We start from the raw sequence: 26,087 nt of genomic DNA on the forward strand, positions 1-26,087 counted from the left end.
AGGTGCATGCCCGGCTAATTTTTGTATTTTCAGTAGAGACGGGATTTCACCATGTTGGCCAGGCTAGTCTTGAACTCCTGACCTCAGGTGATCCGCCCAACCCAGCCTCACAAAGTGCTGGGATTACAGGCATGAGCCACCACGCTGGCTCCAACACATTCTGTGTTAGTCTTGGATTAACCACAGAAACAGAACCAGTAGACAATCTATAATATAAGATTTATTGCAAAGAATTGGCTTATGTGGCCTGGCTAGGCAGGTCAGAAAGAGCAAGCTGGAATCTCAGGCATGGGCTGAAGCAGCTGTCCATAGGTGCAGTTTTTTTCTTCCTCAGAGAAGCCTCATCTCTGCTCCTAAGGCCTTTCAGCTGATAGAGTCAGGCCCACCCAAACTGTCTAGAACAATCTCCCTTCCTCAAAGTCAACTGATTATGGACTTTAATCACATCTACGAAATACCCTCACATCAACACACTGATTAGTGTTTGACTGAATAACTGGAACTGTCACATAGGTAAGCTGACACATCAAACTGGCCATCCCAACTTCAGACCACATTTGCAATAAAATCCAAAATCTGGCTGGGCATGGTGACTCACACCTGTAATCTCAGCACATTGGGAGACTGAGGCAGGAGGACTGCTTGAGCCCAGGAGTTTGAGACTAGCCTGGGCAGCATAGTGGGGGCCCCATCTCTATGAAAAATACAAAAATTAGCAGGGTGTGGTGGCACACACCTATAGTCCCAGCTACTAGGGAGGCTGAGGTGGGAGGATTGCTTGAGCCTGGGAGATTGAGGCCACGGTGAGCTGATTGTGCCACTGCACTCCAGCCTGGGATAGAGCGAGACCTTGTCTCTAATAAATACACAAGCAAAATCCAAAGTTCGCTTTGGATTGCTAGCCCATCAAAAAGGCTAGCTCCTTGAAGGTGGGAATTTTTGCCACTTTAGTTCCCTGCTGCATGCCCAGCAACTGGAACAGTGCCTTGCACATAGTAGGTGCTCAGTAAATGTGAAGGATGAATGAAGACATCCAGCTTCCCCTTGTATGTCAGGATGTAAAGACACCTGAAGCCCTTGTCACATGGCCTTACAGGAGCATAGGAGCGGAGTGTTTCTGAATTGCCCCCCTTCCCACAAGTCTACTTGCTGACATGGAGCGAGAAGACACGGGAGTCTACTCTTGCTATGCACTTACTCTGAAAATTGCTCTCTCACTGTGCTTTGGGCATCTTGTCTGTAAAACAGGAAGGTGTCTTAGTCCCTTCAGGCTGCTGTAACAAAATACCATAGACTGTATGGCTTATACACAACAGAAATTTATGTCTCATAGCTCTGGAGTCTGGGAAGTCTGCAATCAATGCACCAGCAGATTCGATGGCTGGTGAGAACCCACTTTCTTGCTTATAGGCACCTGCTGGCTGTGTTCTCATGTGGTGGAAGGGGCAAGGCAGCTCTCCAGGGCCTCTTTTATAAGGGCACTAATCCTATTCATGGGGGCTCCACCCTCATGATCTCACCACCTCCCAAAGGCCCCACCTCCCAGTAATATCACTTTGGTAATTAGGTTTCAAAAGATGAATTTTGGGGAGACACAAACATTCAGACAATAGCAGGATGCAACTTACTTTTTTGCTTCTCTCACTGAGTTGCTGGAAAGATCAAGTGGCAAAAAGCATGTGAAAGAACATGGTCAAGCATGTGCACAGAGAACATGCTAAAGGATCCCATCTCTATGAAGTTCATGCAGTTATGAAAGTGTCCTGCACTCATGAAAGTGTCCTGCACTCCTTGTGCTCCTTCCTCCCTCAGACCTTTGTCCAGGCTGTCTCCTCTACCTAGAATGCGCTTCCTCCTGCTTCTTTTTGCCAGCTACTATTGATCCTTTAGGATTTTGCTCAAGGGTGAATTCCTCCAGGAAGTCTTCCCTGATCTTTATAGCTTGGAGAATTTCACCTCGCTGAACTTTGCCTTGTGTGTTTTTCTGTGAAGTTAATCGGCACTCATGTGTTTAGGAGGTGGGGTTGCTTAGCAGTTCGTGGGGCTGGGAATCTGGTCCCTGAATCCATACTCACTAGATACACAAGCTCAACCAAGTGCTTTTGCCTCTCAGTTTGTTGACCTGTGACTTAGGGCTTATGACAAGTAGCCCATTTACACTGGGCCACTGCTGTGTCCCAAGTACTAAATGTTCATCTCGTTGAATCCTCACTGCAACTACTGTGAAGTAGTTCTTGTCATGTTATAGAGTTTATTTTCACCTCCACCTTATAGGTGAGAAAATATTGGCACAGAGAGCTCAAGTAACTCACCCACAGTCTCTGCAGGCTGAATGGTGGAGCTGGGATTTGAACCCATGCAGCTTAGCTCCAGAGCCTGGCTTAAGTAACTCACCCATGGTCTCTGTAGGCTGAATGCTGGAGCTGGGATTTGAACCCATGCAGCTTAGCTCCAGAGCCTGGCTTAAGTAACTCGCTCATGGTCTCTGCAGGCTGAATGGTGGAGCTGGGATTTGAACCCATGCAGCTTAGCTCCAGAGCCTGGCCTACTAACTGTTAGGGCATACTGCTTATTGGGCTTCTCATGATGACACTAATAAAGACATCATTGTATAGCTCCCTCCTAGAGCTGCGACAGGCTCTGGAGGGAGAGCACAGGAAGCCGTGTTATGGGGTGCCTGGTGCCTGGCTGGTGCTCAGTGAGTAACAGCTGTGATCAGAATTGCTCTTCATCGGGGCACGACATGGCTGTTTTGCCCTCCCCGGGGATGCTGGTGACTGTGTCCAGTTTCTTCCAGTACTGTTGGCCAGGTTGTGGGGCACAAGGGCGGGAGAGATGGAAGGCCAGAGGGACAGGAGTGCAATTCTTACTTTAACATCATTTTCCAGTGAGCTATGTGATAGGGGCTGAAGCAGCAAGAATGAGGTGTGTGAGCCCTGTCCCCAGCATCCTGGAGGGGCGGTCTATGCTGAGAGCCCCACCAGCAGGAGGACTGGGAGGAGCAGGGCCAGGACCTGTAGTGCTCGGGGAGGGGTGGTGGCTGAAGCACTGGTGAAGGGCTGGGTCATGGATTTCCTGTTGCAGAGGTACCCCTCACAGCAGGAGCCCTGGAGGTCGATGGCTGTCCAGGGGCTGGTGGTGCCCTCGGTGGTGCAGGAGGGCCGGTGGCAGGTTCTGATGTACACAGGGACTGAGAAATTGCCTGGAGGTGGGCAAAGCAGTGAGGAACGGTCAGAACTGAGGGAGACAGCTGCACCTGAACCTTCACCTTGGTAGCTAGGGCCATGCCTCGGTCCTCAGACTTGCTTCAGGTTTTCCTCCTAAGACCAGGGCCAGGCCTCCCTCAGACCAGGGCCATGCCTCTTCCCTCAGAACAGGGTCGTGCCTCCTCCCTCAGACCAGGGCCATGCCTCTTCCCTCAGACCAGGGGCCATGCCTCCTCCCCCAGACCAGGGTTATGCCTCCTCCCTCAGACCAGGGCATGGCCTCCTTCCTCAGAGCAGGGCCAGGCTTCTCCCTCAGACCAGGGTCTTGCCTCCTCCCTCAGACCAGGGTCATGCCTCCTCCCTCAGACCAGGGTCATGCCTCCTCCCTCAGACCAGGGTCATGCCTCCTCCCTCAGACCAGGGCCAAATCTTCTCCCTCAGACCAGGGCCAAATCTTCTCCCTCAGACCAGGGTCAAACCTTCTCCCTCAGACCAGGGTCATGCCTCCCACCTCAGAGCAGGGCCATGTCTCCCTGTTGGGCCTGTCTGGTATCACTACCCTCATGGCTGCCCTGCCTCCATATCCCTTGCCCAGGCCCTTCCACCCTTCCAGCCCCTTACCAACTGTCATTCTGCCATTGCCCTGGAAGCAGGCGGTCTGGTCCTGGTGACACTGGACTCGTCGGGACCTGCCGATAGCGCAGTCATCCTGGTGGACCCCGATACAGGCGTAGCACTCGGCGCCGCTGAGCGTCGGCGGGTCGGGTGCTGGCAAGAGAGCGTAGATGCACACTCAGGCAGTGGTACCCTGGCACAGTCGTGCGGGCTGCGCACTGCGCCAGAGCCCGCGCCTAGCACGTCTCGGGGGTTGGGATCCTAGCGCGCCAAGAGCAGGCGCCCAGCGGAGGCCACGCCTTCCCCGAGGCTGCCAGGCCTCTCATCGTCCCTCCCGGAGCCCAGCCCCGCTCTCCCGCGCACCTTGGCTCAGGTTGGGGAGGGCGTCATGAGTCATGAGGTGGGCGTTGCATTTGTCAGTTGTGCAGCCGCGCACCACCGAGTAGTCTGGCGGCAGCGCGTCCGCGTTCGATTGCGTCTGGCCCGCAGGAGGCCCGGTCCAGCAGCCCTTCCGCACCAGGGTCACCGGCGCGCGATACCCTGGGGGCGGGATCGGGGCTCGTGCTCTGCTTCCCGAAACCCTTCTCCCTCCAGTCTCAGCGTTCTTCCTCCTCCCTCTATCCTTTCACTTTCACCTACACCTCCTCCCCTCCCTCCTTCCCTCCTTCCTCTCACCCCCAGACCTTTTCCCCCGAGTTCTTCTCTTCCTCCACTCTTCCTCCCTGTGCGCCTCTCCCACCTTCTCTTCCTTGCTTCCCCATTGTTTCCTCCCCTCACCGCTCGTCCCTCATCCACTTTTTCTTTTGTGGGGCGGAGGACGGAGCCTCGCTCTGTCGCCAGGCTGGAGTGCAGTGACCCGATTTCGGCTCACTGCAACCTCCGCTTCCCGGATTCAAGCGATTCTCGTGCCTCAGCCTCCCGAGTAGCTGGGATTACAGGTGCCCGCCACCACGCCCAGCTAACTTTTTGTATATTTAGTAGAGACGGGGTTTTGCCATGTTGGCCAGGCTGGTCTCAAACTTCTGACCTCGTGATTCGCCAGCCTCTGCCTCCCAAAGTGCTAGAGTTACAGGCCTGAGCCACTGCCCCAGCCCTCATCCACCCTTTTCTTTTTCTTCCTCCTCTTCTTCCTCTCCCTCCCCATCTTTCTATCTTTATCTTTTCATCTTCTACTCAATTCCCCTCCCTTTCTGCTCCCCTCTCCCCCCTTTTTCCTCCCTAATCTCTCATCCCTGTCCCCCGGCTCCCGCTCCTTACCGGTGTCCAGAGACAGGATAGCCTCAAAGCACTCATGAGGACAGGAGATGCTGGGCAGCTTCATGGCCCTGAGGTCAAAGGGGCCAAAGTAGGTGTGCTCAAAGCTGTAGCACTGCAGGGCTTGGGACCCTGGGGAGAGAGGCGTGGCAGAGTCAGCAGGGCCAGTGTGAGCCTGTCCCAGGAACTCAGAGCTCCACCCAGCAAATGACAGGCACACGGGCCTGGCCCCTCTGCTCCCAGGGAAGACACGCCTTGAGAGACCAGGTGCTGCTATTGCAGCTGGTCACAGCTGTGTCTGTCTCATGGCAGAGTAATGACCTCTCTGCAGCTGACAGTCCAGTTTTTTCCCTCCAGGACACTCCAGGTCTCCACCCTCTTCCAGGAAGCCCTCTCCCTAGCTATGACTTAGAATAGGAAGGAAAAGTGATTCATTCTTGCTCTGCCCATCCTTCCCCAAGCTTAACTCACAAAGTGGACAGCACAGTAAGAGACCCCTGACAAGAAACATGCACTCCAGGACAGGTAGAGTGAAGTGTGGTCCTGTAGTGCCCTGTAAACCCATACATCAGCCCCAGCAACACACAAACTGACATAAACACACAATAACAACACATACACAGGTTCATCCAAGTCTCACAAATATACACAGAATATCCTGAATGCACCCAGGCAGAGTTTTACATTCTCACACAAAACAAGTACGCATCTGGACCCTGCAATATAAACCTCCCTAACTAAGGCACAGCACTTCACACATGGAAAATCACACAGACACAAAGCGTATGTCTGTGAGGATGCTTGTGCCTGTATGATAACCATATCAACACAGAGAGGGACCAGATGCACAGAAAATCATACCCAGAGAGGTCCCAAATCACAGAAGCACAAATAAAACCAGAGGCCACAATTATGCGATGTTTAGAGATACAGGAAAATGAGATCACAAAAACATACAGTTTAAAATCATATATGGAGGCCAGGGGTGGTGGCTCATGCCTATAATCCCAGCACTTTGGGAGGCTGAAGCAGGAGGATCACCTGAACTCGGGAGTTAGAGACCAGTCTGGGCAACAGGTGAAACCCCGTTTCTACTAAAAATACAAAAATTAGCTGGGCATGGTGGTGCACGCCTGTGGTCCCAGCTACTCAGGAGTCTGAGGCACGAGAATTGCTGGAGCCTGGGAAGCAGAGGTTGCAGTGAGCTGTGATCGCGCCACTGCACTCCAGCCTGGGCGGCGACAGAGGGAGACTCTGTCTCAAAAAAAAAAAAAAAATCAAAATCACATATGGATACAAAATGTATAGACCCATGTAACACAGATACATGGAGAGAAAAAAAAAAAAAAACACATCAAAAGGCCCAAACAATTGGTCAGGCATGGTGGTGTCCCCCTGCAGGCCCAACTACTTGGGAGGCTGAAGCAGGAGAATTGCTTGAGCCAGGAGTTTGAGGCTGTAGTGAGCCATGGTTGTGCTACTACACCTTAGTGTGGGCAACAGAGTGAGACCTTATCTCTATTTTAAAAACAACCACAAGAAAAAAGGCCAGTCTCATTGGCTGATGTGAGTGGATTGCTTGAGCTCAGGAGTTTGAGACCAGCCTGGGCAACATAGTGAAACCCCACCTCTACAAAATCATACAAAAATTAGCCAGGCGCAGTGGCACATGCCTATAGTCACAGTTACTCAGGAGGCTGAGGTGGGAGGATTGCTTGGGCCCAGGAGGTCAAGACTTCAGTGAGCTGTGATTGTGCCACTGCACTCCAGCCTGGGCGACAGAGCAAGACCCTGTCTCAAAAAACAAAACAAAAAACAAAAACTGAGCATATATACATAGAGATAAATATAGGCTTACAAATCACAGATACATAAACACAGACACAGATACACAAAATTACACACGCATCTCTTTTACAAAGAAAGCAAACTCAGAAACAGACCCACAAACGCATTTGTTCAGACTAAGACTTTAAAACCTATACAGAGAAACACACACAAGCACAGAGACTCATAGGACATACTGAACCTGGACACATACAGAAATCAAACTCTCTCCCATTAAGGAGCAGAAACACACAGATTTGGTTGTGTGCAGGAATAGCCTCCTTTCTACATTTCTAATTCCCTGTCTTTGTAACCACTTCCATTCTGAAATGAGTTATGTTCCTGTCCTAGCCCACAATGGGGTAGAGGTTGCCTGAAGGTGAAGCCAGGGTTTCTGCCAGTTTCGGAAAGAGTCCTGAGGGCTCCCTGGAAATACCTTTGAATTGGGGGTTGGGCAAGGAAGAGAAGAAAGGCTGGGATGGTGGGAAGAGAGACACCAGGAAAAATGACTGATGGGAGAAGAACAAAGGCAGGGAAGAGAAATGAAAATGACATAGCCTCCAGGCTCCTGCCCACCAAGACCCAGGAGTCCAGGCCCCCAGCCTCCTCCTCCCTCAGACCCAGGAGTTCAGGCCCCCAGCCCCCTCCTCCCTCAGACCCAGGAGATCAGGCCCCCAACCCCTCCTCCCTCAGACCCAGGAGTCCAGGCCCCCAGTCTCTCCTCCCTCAGATCTAGGAGTCCAGGCCACCTGCCCCTTCTCACTACTGGATTCAGAAGTTTGCGTACCTGTCAGGCAGAGCGCAGCCCCAAAGAGGCAGAGCAGAATGACTCTGGGGACCCCCATTGCCATTGCTGAGCTGGGCCACCTGGGACAGCTCCTCCCGCTGTGATGTGCTGCCTGGCTGGTTCTCCTTACTGAGTCCTAAGCATCCCGGCCACCCAGCCTGGCCAGTATTTCTTCGTCCCACCCTCCCTATGTGGGCGGGTCTCTTCCTAGGTAATCGTGATGGAAACAGGGTGATCCTCAGTTGCTGGAGATCTACACTTCTGGGTCTGAGGGAGGAGAGAACTAGAAGTCTGGAACCCTTAATTTTGAATGATTGGTGTCTTGTTGGCCTTCTTCCTTCACCCCTCCCAGCACTCTGCTCTAATCTGAGGGTGGCACATATGGCCTTTTGACTTCCCTTCCCTCCCCCTACCCCAACACACACCACCCACACAGCTTCCAATCCTGGGATGTCTCCACACCCAAAGACACGTTCATCGTCCCATCATCTAAACCTTCTCTGAACCCCATCTCCCCACTCATCCACACACCCTCAGCCTCCAGCACCTTCCTGTCTCCCAGCCCTGATCAAACTAGGCTGGGCTAGCGTCTGTCTCCCCTACCGGGCTGTGAACTCTTCGGGGGCCTCCAGGAATGTCTGAGATACCGTATGACTGAACGAATGAATCAATGAATGAAGACACAAACAGAGAGGCACCAAGAGACATACAGGGAGAGACAGACACAAAAGAGAAACAGAGAGAGAGGAAGAGAGAGAGAGAGAGTGTGCCTTCGAGGAAGCAATTACACATGAGATGCAGAAAGACAGACACAGCCTGCTGTGAACAGATGTGACTGTGTAGTCACACAGACAAACCTAGAGGTGAAGAGGGACACCCCGATAGACACGACATGCCCCCAGGTGTTTCAGAAACATTTATTAAATGAATGAAATCAAGAAGATGGAGATACAGCAGACAACCAGAGGGTCACTGTCCCCCGAGGACACAGGCAGACACATGTGGATGCTCAGACACTCAGCAGGTGAGGAGGTCCAGAGGAGGCCCCAGCAGGTGGTTGGTGCTGAGGCAGAGACCCCAGGCTAGCACCTCCTGGTTTGTCTCACTTCTTGCTGCCTGGAGATGCTGCCTGCTGGATCAGGCTAGTGGATACTAGCCACAGAGTGGGCACCAGCCATGTGCAGACACCCAGAGTCTCAGACCCACATCTGGATGGCAGAGTCCACGTAACACTGGTGACCAAAAGAGCCTTAATGGTCCCCTCAGATCGACTAAACTTTAGACAGGTTTCTTCCTCTCGGCCCTGGATCACGCTTTTTGTAGGACACTTACTTTAGAAAACTTGTACAGTCATCCCTCGGTATTGTTTTCTATTTCTATTTTTTTTATTGTTTTTTGGTTTCAAAATATTTTTTATCCAAAGTTGACTGAATGCGTGGAGGTAGAACCTGTGGATGCAGAACCCCATAGACACAGAGGGCCAAATATAATTGCAAATTCTTTCTCTGCTCCCCCCGCACCCCCTCTCTTTTTCTTTTTGAGACGGCGTCTCACTCTGTTGCCCAGGCTGGAGTGCAGTGGCGTGATCTCGGCTCACTGCAAGCTCCGCCTCCCAGGTTCACACCATTCTTCTGCCTCAGCCTCCCGAGTAGCTGGGATTACAGGCATGTGCCACCATGCCTGGCTAATTTTTGTATTTGTAGTAGAGACAGAATTTCACCATGTTGGCCAGGCTGGTCTTGAATTCCTGACCTCAAGTGATCTGCCCGCCTCGGCCTCCCAAATTGCTGGGATTACAGACGTGAGCCACTGTGCCCGGCCTTCTCTGCGCCTTTGAAATGTAGGTAAATCTTCTCCTGGTCTCTTGCCAGCGTTACAACCCAGGAATGTCTTTTTCAAGGACCTGGGAATTATCCCTTTGAAATCATCAAGGGAGATAGCACCCCTATCGCCCAGTCTCTGTGGGAGGGTAGGAGCCTCACTTTGATAATTGACAATCAGCAAACTCAGATGGCCCAATCACAGAGAAAAACATTTGCAGACTCAGGAATAACTCCATGTGATGGACACATCCCATTGACAGAATAACTCCATGTGATGGACACATCCCATTGACCCACCTCCCCCATTGTCCTCCAATATTTTTCCATTAACTCACCTAGGGCTTAACCACCCTAGCATATTTGTTTCAGTGGAGTTGAGTTCAGTCTCTTTCCCTATTGCAATCTCCTTGAATAAAGTCTGCCTTGCCTGTGCAATTTTTCTTTGACAGCAGCCACTATGGACACTCACCAAACTATGTCCTCCCTTACTGTCATCTTGCCAAATCCCTCCTCTTCCCATCAGGCCTCACTTCCCAGAACCTGTTTTGCATACAAATTATTCTTCCTTCCTGATTCTCCAGTTTCTGCCCCAGGCTCTCAGTGGGGGTCTATCCAGACCGGGGCAGGGTTGTGCTCGGGGGTCTCTGGAGAGTGGAGTCTGGCCAGGAAGGAGGATGGTTTTTCTGAAGCCCCCGTGGAAGGTGGAGGCACTGAAGGTCTTCACAGCAGTTGTCAGTTTCAGGGATTGAGGCTTACAGGGTAGGCAGACCAGTCTGGTGAATGCATGAGTATGTGAGTGCTGTGTGCACTTTTGATTCTGGTATCATTCAGGTACTTTTGGAGACTTTGAAGTGTCAGCTCCCTGTACCTTTTGGGAGCATCCATCTGGCTGTCTTCATCTGCCTGGTGTCTGAGTGTTCACGAGTCTGTTGAATGCCTTAGAATTCTGAATGCCTTAGAATGTTCTCAAGGATCTTCTGTTGCATTCCATCAGTTTCCACGCATGGTTCCATTTCCAATCATGTTTGCAAACATCTGGCCTCTCAAAATTTTTTTTCATATTTGATTTTCATAAGCAGTTTACTAAATGTGGGTACCTTCTAGGGTTTGTGGCCCAAATAGTTGAGAAGTATTTAGTATTTCTTGCCTTATTGGAAATGATTCCATTAATCAAACAAGTCATAATTGTAATGCGTTTTAAGATATTCCCTAAGTAATGTGGGTCATCCCTTGCTTCCAGTCCTCATGTTCTGCATAAATGTTATTTCACACATTATCAGAATTGTGAATTTTCTTTTGGAACTCTAGTCATGACCTTGTCAAAAATTGGATCATGCAGATTGTATGCCAATATATTCTTTTGTTATTTTGTTATTTTTATTTTTTGAGACCGAGTCTCACTCTGTTGCCCAAGCTGGAGTGCAGTGGCGCCATCTTGGCTCACTGGAACCTCCGCCTCCCAGGTTCAAGTGATTCTCCTGCCTCAGCCTCCCAAGTAGCTGGGATCACAGGTGCCTGCCACCATGCCTGGCTAATTTTTGTATTTTTAGTAGACACAGGGTTTCACCATGTTGGCCAGGCTGGTCTCAAACTCCTGACCTCAGGTGATCCACCCGCCTCGGCCTCCCAAAGTGCTGGGATTACAGGCGTGAACCACCACACCTGGCCTCTTTTGTTGTTTTCACATGCATTCTTCCTGCAGCATCAATATCTCTTTCTTTCAAATCAGATCTTAATTTTCTTTTACAGTTCAGTAGTATCAAGTGTATTCATGTTTTGTACAATCAATATCCAGAACTTTTCATCTTGCAAAACTGAAACTCTTTACCCATCAAACAACTCCCCTTTCTTCTATCCCTCCTCCCCACACCCCCTGGCAAGCATCATTCTACTTTGTTTCTGTGAATTTGACTACTCTAGATCAGGGATCCCCAACCCCCGGGGCCTGGTACCAGTACCTGTTAGGAACGGGGCCGCACAGCAGGAGGTGAGCGGTGGGTGAGGGAGGGAAGATTCATCTGTATTTACAGCCTCTCCCCATTACTTGTACTACCACCTGAGCTCTGTCTCCTGTCAGATCAGTGGCTTAGATTCTCATAGCAGCGTGAATCCTATTGTGAATTGCGTATGCAAGGGATCTAGGTTATGCATTCCTTATGAGATTATAATGCCTGATGATCTGTCACTGTCTCCCATCACCCCTAGAGGGGACCATCTAGTGGCAGGAAAACAAGCTCAGTGGGCCAAGCGTGGTGGCTCATATCTGTAATCCTAGCACTTTGGGAGGCTGAAGCAGGAGGATCACTTGAGGTCGGGAGTTCAAGATGAGCCTGGTCAACATGGTGAAACCCCATCTCTACTAAAAATATAAAAATTAGCTGGGCATAGTGGGCACGCCTGTAATCCCAGCTACTCAGGAGGCTGAGGCAAGAGAATCCTTGAACACGGAAGGCGGAGCTTGTGGTGAGCTGAGATCACACCACTGCAGTCCAGCCTGGGCGACACAGCAAGACACCGTCTCAACAAAACAAAACAAAACAAAACAAAACAAACCCAACAAGCTCAGGGCTCTCACTGATTCTACATTATGGTGAGTTATATAATTATTTCATCATATATTACAATGTAATAATAATAGAAATAAAACGCACAATAAATGTAATGCTCTTGAATCATCTGAAACCATCCCCCACTCCCCAGGTCCATGGAAAAATTGTCTTCCACACAATCAGTCTCTGGTGCTCAAAAGGTTGAGGACCGCTGCTCTAGATAACTCATATAAGTGAAGTCATATAGTACTTGTCCTTTAGTGACTGGCTTATTTCACTTAGCATAATGTCCCGAAGGTATAACCATGTTGTATGTAGCATGTGTCAGAATTTCCTTCCTTTTAAAGGCTGAACAATATCCCATTGTGTGGATACACCGCATTCTATTTATTCATTCATCCTTCCATCAATGGACACTGGGGTTGTTTCGCCTCTGGGCTATTGTGAGTAATGCTGTTATGAATATGGCTGTACAAATATCTGTTTGGGACCCTGCTTTGAATTTTTTTGGTTATTATATCAAATCATTTTGAATGTTGCACGCTCTTGTGGAAGTGCCCCTCACCTCATTTTCTTTCTTTTCTTTTCTTTTCTTTTTCTTTTTTTTTTTTGGCAGAGTTTCGCTCTTGTTACCCAGGCTGGAGTGCAATGGTGTGATCTCAGCTCACTGCAACCTCCGTGTCCCAGGTTCAAGCGATTCTCCTGCCTCAGCCTCCTGAGTAGTAGCTGAATTTACAGGCGCCTGCCACCACGCCCAGCTAATTTTTGTGTTTTTAGTAGAGATGGGGTTTCACCATTTTGGCCAGGCTGGTCTCGAACTCCTGATCTCAGGTGATCCGCCTGCCTCGGCCTCCCAGAGTTGGGATTACAGGTGTGAGCCACCGCGCCTGGCCCACCTTCTAATTTTCAAATAATTTGTGATAGCTGTGCTCACCTGTGTTGTTGCAGGCTAGGCTCTCCTGGGAGGCAGATTGTGAGGCTGAGATTAGCATGCAGGACCTTGGGATCAATAGCTGCATAAAGGAGGCAAAGGAAACTGGATTTTGAGCAGAGGGTGAGATTGGGTCCTGATTCAGTCAATCCAAGGGTTCAGTGCACCCCAGGGGGAGGTCTGGCACTGGGCTTCTGGGTTCTGATCAGCTGAGGCAATGCCCAAGGGGCTGACATCAGAAGCAGCTGTCAGAGTCCTTCATTCCTAAAGAGATCTTGGTGGCAAATCACAGCATCCACCACATTCTACTCATTTCTTTGTTTTAGTGTATTTTTCTCCATCTCCAGTGTATTTTTTCCACCTCTTTGAAATAAACATTAATTACAGAATCCTTTGAGATTAAACAAAGTTACCTGATCTGGTCATTTATTCCTCAGTTGAAAAAATTGATGTGAAACTACTTTTCTGTCTACCGTTACTGTCTTTTGGAAGTTAAATGCTCTTTTTTTTGAGACAGAGTCTCACTCTGTTGCCTAGGCTGGAGTGCAGTGGCGTGATCTTGACTCACCACTGCCTCCCAGGTTCAAGTGATTCTTATGTCTCAGCCTCCGGAGAGGCTGGGATTACAGGTGTCTGCCACCACGCCTGGCTAATTTTTGTATATTTAGTAGAGACGGGGTTTCACCATGTTGGCCAGGCTGGTCTCGAACTCCTGACCCCAACTGATCCACTGGCCTCAGCCTCCCAAAGCATTGAGGTTACAGGCGTGAGCCACTGCACCCAGCCTAACTGCTCTTATTTAAGGTGAATAATTTTTAAGAGTTTAAATTTAAGGGTTTAATATTTAAATATTCACATCTAAAGAGTTTAATATTTAAATTAGGTGGCTGGGTACCTGGATTGACGAAAAGAACATGTAATTAAAGGGTTCGTTTATTCTCCATTTTTCCTGTCTTCCAGTTATTTCTTGAATTTTCTTTTCTTGGCTTACCCAAAAGTGGAAGGAGTAAATTCATGGTCTGTTCTGCTCAATAATTAATGGATCTGTGCTACATTCTGCCAAAATAGCAGCTGTGGAAATTTTTTCCCCTTGCAACTTTGTTTTTCTCAAAAATTCATTCAATGATCCACTTTGTTTCATAATAGCTTTCCATTTTCTGGTCCTGATTATTTTTTGTCCTTGATAGACATCGAATAAGGTTAATATTTTATCTTAGAATTTTAGCATCTTACAATACTATGTAGGCAACAAATCATTAAATTTTCATAAGTTTATTTTTATACTGATGAAATTTCTAAAGCAATAATAAGCAACTACTATAATAGTATAATTAACAGACTTGCATAATACTCTTTAATTTCAACCCACACACATTCTTTGTGGATGATTAATGGTAACCGGATATTAGTTTGTTGTGTTATTGTTGTTGTTGTTTTGAGACAAGAGTCTTGCCCTGTCACCCAGGCTGGAGTGCAACGGCGTGGTCTCGGCTCACTGCAACCTCCACCTCCCGGGTTCAAGTGATTCTCCTGCCTCAGCCTCCCGAGTAGCTGGGATTACAGGCGCCCGCCACTACACCCGGCTAATTTTTGCATTTTTAGTAGAGACTTGGTTTCACCACGTTGGCAGGCTGGTCTCGAACTCCTGACCTCGTGATCTGCCCACCTCAGCCTCCCAAAGTGCTGGGATTACATGTGTGAGCCACTGCACCTGACCGGATATTATTATACAGTGATTTGTGCCAAGTGAAAGGACTTGTAGATTTATTTATTTATTTAAGACAGAGCTTCGTTCTTGTCACCCAGGCTGGAGTGCAATGGCGAAATCTTGGCTCACTGCAACCTTCGCCTCCCGGGTTCAAGCGATTCTCCTGCCTCAGCCTCTGTAACTGGGATTACAGGCGACTGCCACCACGCCCGGCTCATTCACTGGGCTAATTTTTGGTATTTTTAGTAGAGACAGGGTTTCACCATGTTGGTCACTCTGGTTTTCAACTCCTGACCTCAGGTGATCCACCCGCCTTGGCCTCCCAAAGTGCTGGGATTACAGGCGTGAGCCACTGTGCCTGGCCAGGACTTGTAGATTTAAACATAGAATTCAACAATTCCAGTCTGGTAGAGTAAATAATTAGATGAAAATATGAACTGCAATATGAAATACTGAATACAGACAATGTGCTGGCACCATTAGGGACTTTAACAAAATGTTCTGCATATCAGGTGGAAGAGCAGCTCATTGTTTAGAAGCACAGACTATTTTAAATGACATAAAATCAACACGTCTTTCCATTTCAAAACCAATGTCTCCTTAGTATATGGAAGTAGAATGGTAGCTACCAACCCTCTTGGAACAAGACACTTTACTGCCATCTGCTGGAACATAGTTGCAATAAATTGTAAATCACTTTTGCAACCGTCAATAGCATGCACAATACATAATAATTTTCAAAAAGTTGTTTTCAAAATAGTAAAGATGTCTGTGATATGAATAGCACCTCCTTAGGTGTAGTGTTCTTGTGCAGTGCCCAACATGAACAACTGCACATGGTGACAGTAGAATCATGGCATCTGCAAAACAAAATCCATTTTACTTTTTCCTCTCCAATCTTTATGCCTTTTTTTTCTTTTTCTTGCCTTATTGTATAGGCTAGAACTCCCAGTACATGATTGAATAGAATTAATGAGAGTAAACATGCTTGTCTTGCTACTGATGTTATATAGTCGTGTGTTTTTTTTAGACAGGGTCTTTCTCTGTTACCCAGGCTGGAGTGCGCTGGCATCATCATGGGTCACTGCAGCTTCAACTTGCTGGGCTCAAGTGATCCTCCCTCCTCAGCCTCTTGAGTAGCTGGGACCACAGTTGCATGCCACTGTGCCTGGCTAATTTTGCTAGTTTCTACCCTTCCCTTCCGTTCCCTCCCCTCCCCTCCCCTCCCTTCCCCTCCCCTCCCCTCCCCTCCCTTCCCCTCCTCTCCCCTTTCTTTCCCTTCCCTTCCTTTCTTTCCGTTTTTCTTTCTTTCTTTCTTTTTTTTGGACAGAGTCTCGCTCTGTTGCCCAGGCTGGAATGCAGCGATCTTGGCTCACTGCAACCTCTGCCTCCTGGGTTCAAGTGATTCTCCTGCCTCAGCTTCCCAAGTAAGCTGGGATTACAGGGGCCTGCCACCACGCCTGGCTAATTCTTTGTACTTTTAGTAGAGATGCGGTTTCACCACGTTGGCCAGGCTGGTCTTGAACTCCTGACCTTAGGTGATTCACCTGCCTCGGCCTCCCAAAGGACTGGGATTACAGGCGTGAGCCACTGCGCCCAGCCTAACAGAAAAATATTTTTTAAATAATAGTAAATATATACCAGACCACCCACAGCGTGATCAAACACCTTTCTTTGGCAGCATTTGTGTAGTTTCTAATACAGCTTTAAAATATGTTCATAAAGAATTATTAAATATCCTTTGTATTTATATTTTATTTAGAGCCTGGAGAAGGCTCTAAATAAAAGGTGAGAGGTGAATATTTTGAGTTAACTTGATATAAGCAAGGTTTCACAGATTAACTTTGAAATATAGGATGACATGGGGCTGGGTGCCATGGCTTATGCCTGTAATCCCAGCATTTGGGAGGTTGAGGCAGGATGACTATGACAGCTTGAGCCCAGGAGATTGAGGGAAAAAAAAATGGATAACATGGAATAGTTGAGAAACGTGACATCATGAAAATAAAGGTGATTTTTCTAAATTTTATTGCAAACAAATTTAAAGGTATGAAAGTGTTGAAAAATTAGCTCATCAGCTGGGCACGGTGGCTCACGCCTGTAATCCCAGCACTTTGGGAGGCCAAGGCGGGCAGATCACCTGAGGTCAGGAGTTCAAGACCAGACTGGCCAACAGGGCGAAACTCTGTCTCTACTAAAAATACAAAAATTAGCCTGATGTGGTGGTGGGCACCTATAATCCCAGCTACCTGGGAGGCAAAGGCAGGAGAATGGCTTGGACCTGGAAGGCGGAGGTTGCAGTGAGCAGAGATCACGCCACTGCCCTCTAGCCTGGGTGACAAAGGGAGAAAGAAAGAAAGAAAGAAAGAAGGAAAGAGAGAAAGAAAGAGGGAAGGAGAGAGGGAGGGAGGAAGGAAGGAAGGGAGGGAGGGAGGGAGGAAGGCAGGCAGGAAGACTCATTGATCATCCATATAGCAATTATGTGGATCAAAATTGTCAACATTTGCCATATTTGCTTATTCTATCTCTATCTTCTGTGTCAGCCTCTGGTGCATAGGAAACCACAAGCAAAATGTAGGGGCTTAAAACATCAAGCATTTTACCCCTCTCCAAATCCTGTGTGTCTCTTGGGTTGTTCTTCTGATATGGGCTGGCTTGACTGATTTCTGCTGGGCTCTGTCATGTGCTTGTGGTCAGCTGGAGGGTTGGGTGGTGGCTGGATGACCCAGAATGGTCTCACTCACAAGACTGGCTGTCAGGCAGGCCTCAGTTCTCCTCCAAATGGCTAGCTTGAACTTTATCACATGGGAGTTGCAACGTTCCAAAGGGGAGCAAAAAAGAGCAACCCCTAATAAGCAGGTGCTTTTCATGCCTTTGCTTATGTTATGTTTGCTAATGTCCCATGTCCCATTGGCCACAGCAAGTCACCAGGGTATCCCAGAGTCAGTGCAGAAGGACACTAACAAAAGGTGTGGATAGAGGGAGGGGAATGATTTGTGGTTATTTTTTCTATCTATCTATCTATCTATCTATCTATCTATCTATCTATCAATCTATCATCTATCTATCCATCCATCCAGCTATCTATCATCATTATCATCTTTATCATCTATTATTTGTCTATTACTGTTGAACCATTAAAAGCAAGTTGCAGACATCTTTTGCTTCACTCCTAAATATAAATTCTGGCATAGGCAAGGGTCTTTCTCCAATTCAATTCTTCCCTTCCCTTCTTTTCAGACTATTTTTAAAGGGCTAAATAACTTGAAACTTGATCGTTCATCTCACATTCACACAATAATTGTGACAGTGATAAAGAACATGCAGGGAAGACCTACAAGGCCAACTAATTAAAATATTTAAAAACATTCATTTTTACCCACAAGGAAATCGTAGGTTTGAGCCACAACATTTAACCAGATTTCTTGGAGCTCAAAGGCAGTTCTGCAGTCAAATTTATACTCTTTTAACTACACGCAAATTAAGGGACAGATGATGCAGACATTTCTAGGAAAAGAGTGGTAACTTCTAGGTCATCACCATGGAAATGGGTGGTAACTTCCGGGTATTGCCATGGCAATGGTAAACTGACATGGCACACTGGCGGGAGTGTCTTATGGAAAGCTGCTTCCACCCAGGCCCTGTTTTAGCTGGTCCTCAATTAGGTCTGGTGTCTGAGCCCCACCTCCGGAATCAAGTCCCACCTCCGACCTCATAAAGATATTAAGGACACTGTAAGAATAAATTCCTGCCCCATTCAGGAGATGTCTTGTGTAATTACGTTACTATGAGGTAGCTGGCTGGTCTCCTTGAGAAGCAGTTGCATATCAAGTGCTCAGGATCAGCCTCTGCTGCTAGCAGATTGGGTACTCAGTAGCGGCGGTAACTTGATTAGTTTCAGTGAAAGGTAGCCCCTGCATGGTGCCCTCCCACAGTAATGAGTTTATGCAAGATCTGGTTGTTAAAAAGTCTGGGAACTCCACCGTCTCTCTCTCGCTCTCTCTCTTGCCATGTGACACACCTGTTCCCCCTTCGTCTTCCACCATGATTGTAAGCTTCCTGAGGCCTCACCAGAAGCAGATGCTGGCACTATGCTTTTTGTACAGTCTGCAGAACTGTGAGCCAAATAACCTTCTTTCCTTATAAATTACCTAGACTCCGGCATTCCCTTATTGCAATGCCAAACAGACTAACACACAGGCATAGCTTTCACCCTTGCCACCATGGCCACTCTGTTCATGAGACCATTGAACCAGCATGGGGCTGGCTGAGGAGATGGACTGACTTACTTTCATGGGATGGATCATCCCTGTTGTTAAGAGCTTTCTTTGTGGGGATTATTGTTGTATTTATTTGTGTATTTATGTATTTATTTATTGAGACGCTGTTTCATTCTGTTGCCCAGGCTGGAGCGCAGTGGTGCAATCTTGGCTCATTGCAACCTCTGCCTCCCGGGTTCAAGTGATTCTCCTGCCTCAGCCTCTTGAGTAGGTGGGATTACAAGTGCACACCACCAAGCCCGGCTAATTTTTGTATTTTTAGCAGAGATGGGGTTTCACCATGTTGGCCAGGCTGGTCTCGAACTCCTGACCTCAAGTGATTTGCCTGCAACGGCCTCCCAAAGTGCTGGGATTACAGGCATGAGCCACTGTGCCCAACCAAGGATTATTTTTAGTAGGAATTAGGATGAGACACATATATGCATGCATTTTGTATGTACGCCCATAAATGTATCCACATACTTCTTCCTAGACCTACTTGCCCCTGAGCTTCCAGTCTCATTCCTTACAAGATCCTGACCAAACAGAAAGCCATGGGCCATTTCCCAGGAGCCCATGTATATCTGCACATTGGGCCACATCTCACTCCAATTTAAGTGAAGGGGCCAGGTGTGGTGGCTCAGCCTGTAATCCCAGCACTTTATGAGTCTCAGGCGGGACGATGGCTTGAGCCCAGGAGTTCAAAATCAATCTGGGCAACATAGGGAGACCCCATCTCTACAAAACATTCAAAACAAATTAGCAGGTGTAGTGGTGCACACCTGTAGTCCTAGCTACTGGGGAGGCTGAAATGAAAAAATCACTTGAACCCAAGAGATTGAGGCTGCAGTGTGCTATGATCCTGCCACTGCACTCCAGCCTGGGTAACAGAGAAAGACCTGTCTCTAAAACAAACAAACAAACAAATGAAGTGAAGATCTCCAATCACAGCTCTGTACACCAGGATTTACCTTCACCACTGCCTGTAGGACCCACCTCTGAGTAGTGGTCCCGTAATATGATAATTTAGGTTCAGCTTCCAAAATACATCAGTCACACTGATCCATCTGTGAGCCAGACCTTTTCTTCCTTAATATTCTACAGGAAAATCTTCATATGATGTCATGAATGTGAATTAAAGGAACAACATAGCTGCAACCAAGGTCAGTGACATGAGAGTCTGAGCTGTCTGTGTGTGTAACTCTTTTGTGCCATCTAGATCTCTTACAATGAATTAATACTGTGCCCAAATCGCACTATGACTTAGTGGGTTAGATACCCAACTCATGACAGGTAGTTTTAGTCATATAGATACTTGATGTCCCATGGTCAAAATCACAGACTCTATTAGTACTCAGCAGCTGGTTTTCAAATTGAAAGCACTTATATGCTGCATAATAAATGGACTTACTTCAGAACCTTACGGGCTGTAATTTTGCTTTTGTATCTTGCCAGAGACTCCACATAACAGCTTCAACCATTATGGATAGAGGTGACACCATCAAAGTTGCTGATTCATGTGGCTCAGGGACAGGGAGATTGCATCGCAGGCTTTACCTGCTGTAGAGCTCTCACCTGCTTTGAAACTCAGCAGCCTTCAAGTTTATCTGAAAAATGAGTCAGAACAAAATTCCAGGCCAGTCATGATGGGTCACGCCTGTAATCTCAGCACTTTGGGAGGCCGAAAGTGGGGGGATTGTTTGAGGCCAGGAGTTTGAGGCCAGCCTGGGCAATATAGTGAGAACCTATTTCTAAAAAAAAAAAGAAAGAAAGAAAAAGGAGTTTGAGACCAGCATGGGCAACACACGGAGACCCCGTCTCCACAAAAAATTTAAAAACTAGCTGTGCACGGTGGCATGTGCCTGTAGTCCCAGTTACTCGGGAGGCTGAGGTGGGAGGATCTACTTGAGCCAGGGAGGTCAAGGCTGCAGTGAGCTGTGATCATGCCACTGCACTCCAGCCTGGGCAATAGAGCAAGACTCTGTCTAAAACAAAAACAAAACCAAAAACCAGCTATAAAAGACACCTAGAACTATTAAAAAAAGAGAAAAAAAGAACACTATTCTGAAGTGTGATTTATATATGTATCATATAAATCATATATGTTATATATAAACACACATCTATATATACCCATCTATTATTTTTATTTTATTTTATTTTATTTTTGAGACGGAGTTTCACTTTGTCACCCTGGCTGGAGTGCAGTGGCGCGATCTCAGCTCACTGCAACCTCTGCTTCCCGACTTCAAGCGATTCCCCTGCCTCAGCCTCCTGAGTAGCTGGGACTACAGGTGTGCACCACCATGCCTAATTTTTGTATTTTTAGTAGAGATGGAGTTTCACCATGTTGGCCAGGCTGGTCTCGAACTCCTAACCTCAAGCGATTCACCCGCCTTGGCCTCCCAAACTGCTGGGATTCCAGGTGTGAGCCACCACGCCCCACTCTATCTATCTATCTATCTATCTATCTATCTATCTATCTATCTATCTACCTATCATGTATCTATCACTTTCAAATGTCAAAGAGCCCTACCAAATTATGTGCCTGTTTATCAGTTTAGGAAGTGTGAGTTGTAATAACTTATTCTTTACCTTAAGGGAGATACTATGGCATGTCCCAGATGATTGGACTTCTAAAATCTTCACTGATGTGGTAAGTTAGTGAACATTCATGAGGTTTATCTCCCTCTTTCTGTCACTCATTTGCATTACTATGGCTTCTACAGTGATTGCCACTTCCTGATCACCAGGTCAAATTAGCATGATTTTATTGGTGGAATGAACCAGTGCTATGTTCTTCAGAATGTAAAGATGATCAAGGCCTCTGTGGACTACAATATGACGGAGATTAGGAGGGTTATCAGGAACCTGGGGCAAGACAGTGCTGCAGTCCTTACCATGCACACATGAATGGCTTTTAATTCTCCTAAATGTCAGAGATCAAGTAAAATACATTTGTCAGATCATTAAGCACATACTAAGGACCAAAAACTAGGTTGGTCAACTCCAGTAAAGATGTCACATCTGACATAGCAGCTGAAATTGGAGCTGCTATTTGTTTACATTTAAAGTAGTCACTATGAATTAGCTTTGGCCACATAATAAGTGATACGGTTTGGCTGTGTCCCCACCCAAATCTCATCTTGAATTGTAGCTCCCATAATTCCCACATGTTGTGGGAGGAACCCGGTGAGAGATAACTGAATCATGGGGGTGGTTTCCCCCATACCGTTCTCATGATAGTGAATAAGTATTATCAGAGCTGATGGTTTTATAAGGGGAAACCCTTTTTGCTTGGCTCTCATTCTCTTTGCTGGCTGCCATGTAAGATGTCTCTTTGTTCTCTTTTGCTCTTCTGCTATGATTGTGAGGCCTCCCCAGGCATGTGTAACTATGAGTCCATTAAACCTGTTTTTCTTTATCAGTTACCCAGTCTTGGGTATGTCTTTATCAGCAGCATGAAAACAGACGAAAACAATCAGTAACCCCAAAACTCAGAGGCTTGAAATTACGAATATTATTTCTCACAATTCTGGGGGCTTTCTGAGCATTTCTTTTGCTCTGGGCTGGTTTGGCTGCAGCTGCATAGTATAGTCAGGCCTCACTCAAAGTTCTAATGGTTGGTTGGTTATTGTGGGGGAGGGGGCATGAGAATGACTTGGCCTTATGTTTCTCATCATCCCTCAGTCTAGTTCACGCTTGCATGAACCCATGGGAGCTGGGTTCAAAATGCAACAAGAAAGCAGTTTCCATTCAGTGAGTGTTTTTCAAACCTCTATATGTCACATTTACTACTGTCTCAAAGAAAATCAAATGCACATTCCCAGATTCAAGGAGTGGAGAAATTGACTCCACCTTTGAAGGGAAGAGCTGCAAAGTCATGTTGCAAAGAATATACACACAGGAATGGGAAGAATTTGTGGGATTTTTTTTCAATCTACCACATCCACTAGCTTCAGTCATGCAGGTTTTTTGCAGGGGCCAAGTGAAATGAATGGAGGTATGATAGGGACAAATAATCCTGCATCCTCTAAATTTTGATGATGATGCAATCTCTGCAATTCCTCCCACAGCACAGTATTGAGTTTCAAGGGTTTCCACTTGGCTCTTTATACCATAAGGACTTTATTTATTTTTTTTTTTTTTGAGATGGAGTCTCACTCTGTCACCAGGCTGGAGTGCAGTGGCGCCATCTCAGCTCACTGCAATCTCTGCCTCCCAGGTTCAAGCTATTCCCCTGCCTCAGCCTCCCAAGTAGCTGGGATTACAGGTGTGCACCACCACACGCAAGTAATTTTTTTATTTTAGTAGAGATGAGGTTTCACCTTTTTGGCCAGGATGGTCTCTATTTCCTGACCACATGATCCACCCGCCTTGGCCTCCCAAAGTGCTGGGATTACAGGCATGAACTACTGCGCCCAGCCCATAAGTACTCTTAGTTCACAAGTTAGGAAGCCACTATAATGAGTTCTACCAGAAGATGAGCATATCTATCCCAAATATATGTTAAAGGATAGAGGAAAACAACCATAGGGTGAGTTCATGGACTTACTGAACTCACTGTGAGATCAGACTTGGGCCAAACATGGATAAGTAACAAGCTTGAAATCCTATCACAAGGATCTTGAGGGTCTCTCCTGGAAACACTCCTCTTAGCTTACATTGCCTACAGGGAGGACCCTGAGAAGAAGTTTCTGTGCTATTATTTTATCAGCCGGTACAGTTCCAGGGAAGCAGGAGAGAGGGAAAAGTATAGTGTGGTAGGGAAGGAGACAACACTTGTATGAAGGTCTTACTGAGCTGGCCACTGCTTGCTATCAAGTGTAATTGATTGTTTAATTTTGTGTTTTAAGACCACCTAGCTGAGGAGAAGAAGGGAGGTGAATTCATCCACTGGTTCATGAAATGTTTGTCCCAGAGACTATTAACTCCGCTGTACTTCCAGGTCGCGTGTGAATAGTTCAATGGGTTCTGTAACGTCTCATGCATCAGCATCAACAGGAAAGCCCTGGGGCTTGAGACAAGTAGTGCCCATTGCAGGCATGAGGTCAGGTTTCGTTGCTGCTTGTGCCCATGTAGAGTTGTTCTGAGTTCATGCAGGGATGTTGCTGCAGCAGTGAATCAAGAGAAACAAGTTTCCAGAGGCCCCAGGCACAGGTGAGGCTGAGAGGATCTGAAGTGACACATAAGATGTGTCTGAACTCTTTCTTAATTCAACTCTTGCATGCAATTATCTGAGCCTGGTGATGATTAGAGTTTAAATTCTAAACTACTGATGCTGTATCATTAATGACTAATTGTCTATTATTAAAAGTTTCTGTCTCTTCTTGTCAATTCTTTAAGTTATAGCTTTCTAGGAAATTGACCATTTCATCTGTTTTCAAATTTATTCTAATTCAAAAAATATTTTCTATTCTTGTGTAGTCTTTTTCTTTCTTAATATTATTTGTGCCTGTTCTCTTTTTTATTCATCTTTTGAAATAATCTATTTTTTAATTATCTCAGAAATGGATCACTTCAAATAAGCAGTTGTTGGCATTTAGCCTCTATTGCATCAGTGTTTTCTATTTCTTTAACTTGTGCTTATTGTTGACCTCAACCAACTTTCTTTGTATTTATTCTATTATTCTGTGTTCTAACTTCAAGTTGGACATAGCCTTCATTCTTTTCATTTTTCCCTTCTTCTTCTTCTTCTTTTTTTTTTTTTTTTTTTGAGATGGAGTTTGCTCTTGTTGCCCAGGTTGGAGCGTAGTGGCATGATCTCAGCTCACTGCAATCTCCACCCCCAGGGTTCAAGCGAGTCTCCTGCCTCAGCCTCCCGAGGGGTCTAGGAGATTAGTGATTATTAGTTCTAGCGGGTTACAGTGACCGGTAGCACAGGAGGGATTGGCTTCCTTTTTCTGAAGGTGAACCGGGTCTTTTCTGTCCTTTTTCTAAGTAGCTTAAATAACACATGGTCAATAGGCACAATTTTCACAGGCCTCTAACTCATGACCCACTAATCCCCTAGACCCCCGTTGGAAAAAAGGAGAACGTGTAACCCTGGAGATCGATGGGTCAGGGCTAAACCCCCAAGTTGCCTTTTTAGTTTGAGGGGAGGTACACAGGCACTCTCCCAAACCAGTGTTTCAAACTTTTTATGATGAGCCGAATCTGCCAACACCAGAGCTTCCAAAAAGGACAAAAGAACTTGTTTCTCCAGCTAGCGGAAAGTGTAGCTCATTTCCTCAATGTTACTTTCTGTTATGTATGTGAGGGAACCACTATGGGAGACTGATGGCCTTGGGAAGCTAGAGAGTTGGTGCCCACTGATCCAGTTCCTGACCCAATTCCAGTTCAGAAGGCCCAAATTAGCAACTTCTGGGTCCTAAAAACTTCAATTATTGGACAATACTGTGTAGCTAGAGAAGGAAAAGACTTCACCATTCCTGTAGGAAAGCTCGATTGTCTAGGGCACACTCCAGCTGTCACTCTACACACAAACCCACACACTTGTGTCACAGTCACAGATTCATTCCAGTCCTGTCATACACCAAGCACTTTCTTCTTTTTGACACATACACACAGTCTGTCATACAAAGAGAAACACACCTGCTGTGTCATGAGCACACATGCAGTCACGAAGACATACCCTGGCCATTTCATGTGCACAGATGCACACACACCCCATTCCCTGTGTCACAAGACATCCCAGCCGTGGCACGTGCACTCTCATACAGACGCAACGTCACCATTCGCACGGTAGGGCACATCCTTGGCTCTATCACGCACATAATATTGCACACACCCCCTACACCATGTCTGTCACCACCACGGACGGTCCATCACACGCGGCCAGGGAGACGCCTGACCTCGTTTTGCCCCACCCCCTCCCTCAAGTCTTCATACCCAGCCACACTGTCGCCTTCTTCGGCTGCTCGCATTCGCCTCATTGCTTCTCCCACCCTTACCCGCACTGCCGACTGGGGCATGAGTCCGCAACGCCCTCTGCGCCTCGCCCTGCTTCGATGTCTCCTTCCGAAACTACACGCGGAACCCAAGAATCACTGGGATGCGCAAAGCGGATCAGGAGCGCACGCTCATTCGGCCCAGTGACCTGTGGGAATTGTAGTCCCGGGCCGGAAA

The 26,087-nt window shown here is 47.1% G+C and overlaps 1 protein-coding gene across 3 annotated transcripts, besides 1 other annotated feature; it reads right to left on the reverse strand.

Annotated features, from left to right (window-relative positions):
* Positions 1-1,299: 1,299 nt before the first annotated feature.
* On the reverse strand, positions 1,300-26,007 carry LYPD5 (LY6/PLAUR domain containing 5). Of its 3 annotated transcripts, none has more exons than NM_182573.3 (5): positions 25,913-26,007; positions 5,079-5,207; positions 4,185-4,361; positions 3,828-3,974; positions 1,300-3,202 (listed from the first exon to the last, which is right to left on the reverse strand). In NM_182573.3, exons 2-5 carry the CDS (start codon positions 5,140-5,142, stop codon positions 2,964-2,966), a joined length of 627 nt encoding a protein of 208 aa, NP_872379.2. In that variant the 5' UTR covers positions 5,143-5,207; positions 25,913-26,007; the 3' UTR covers positions 1,300-2,963. The 3 variants fall into 3 exon arrangements, with proteins under 3 accessions (NP_872379.2, NP_001026919.2, NP_001275692.1); NM_001031749.3 differs by lacking the exon at positions 25,913-26,007 and adding an exon at positions 7,690-7,820; NM_001288763.2 differs by lacking the exon at positions 25,913-26,007 and having other exon boundaries at positions 5,079-5,219.
* Positions 4,269-4,438: an enhancer, noted in NCBI's record as "active region_14743". NCBI's record gives its function as "activates an Ori minimal core promoter by ATAC-STARR-seq in GM12878 lymphoblastoid cells {active_cell/tissue: GM12878}" and the evidence as "EXISTENCE:reporter gene assay evidence [ECO:0000049][PMID:35858748]".
* Positions 26,008-26,087: the final 80 nt, after the last annotated feature.

Source organism: Homo sapiens, chromosome 19 (genome assembly GCF_000001405.40).
Source record: "Homo sapiens chromosome 19, GRCh38.p14 Primary Assembly".
Taxonomy (NCBI): Eukaryota; Metazoa; Chordata; class Mammalia; order Primates; family Hominidae; genus Homo; species Homo sapiens.

Excerpts from the sequence above, each read along its gene's own strand:
- LYPD5 (NM_001031749.3), bottom strand. The coding sequence starts at position 7,753 with ATGGCAATGGGGGTCCCCAGAGTCATTCTGCTCTGCCTCTTTGGGGCT. Across the intron at positions 4,362-5,078 it reads TATCCTGTCTCTGGACACCG|GGTATCGCGCGCCGGTGACC; the intron begins GTAAGGAGCGGG and ends TCCCGCCCCCAG. Across the intron at positions 3,203-3,827 it reads CAATGGCAGAATGACAGTTG|GCAATTTCTCAGTCCCTGTG; the intron begins GTAAGGGGCTGG and ends GCCCACCTCCAG.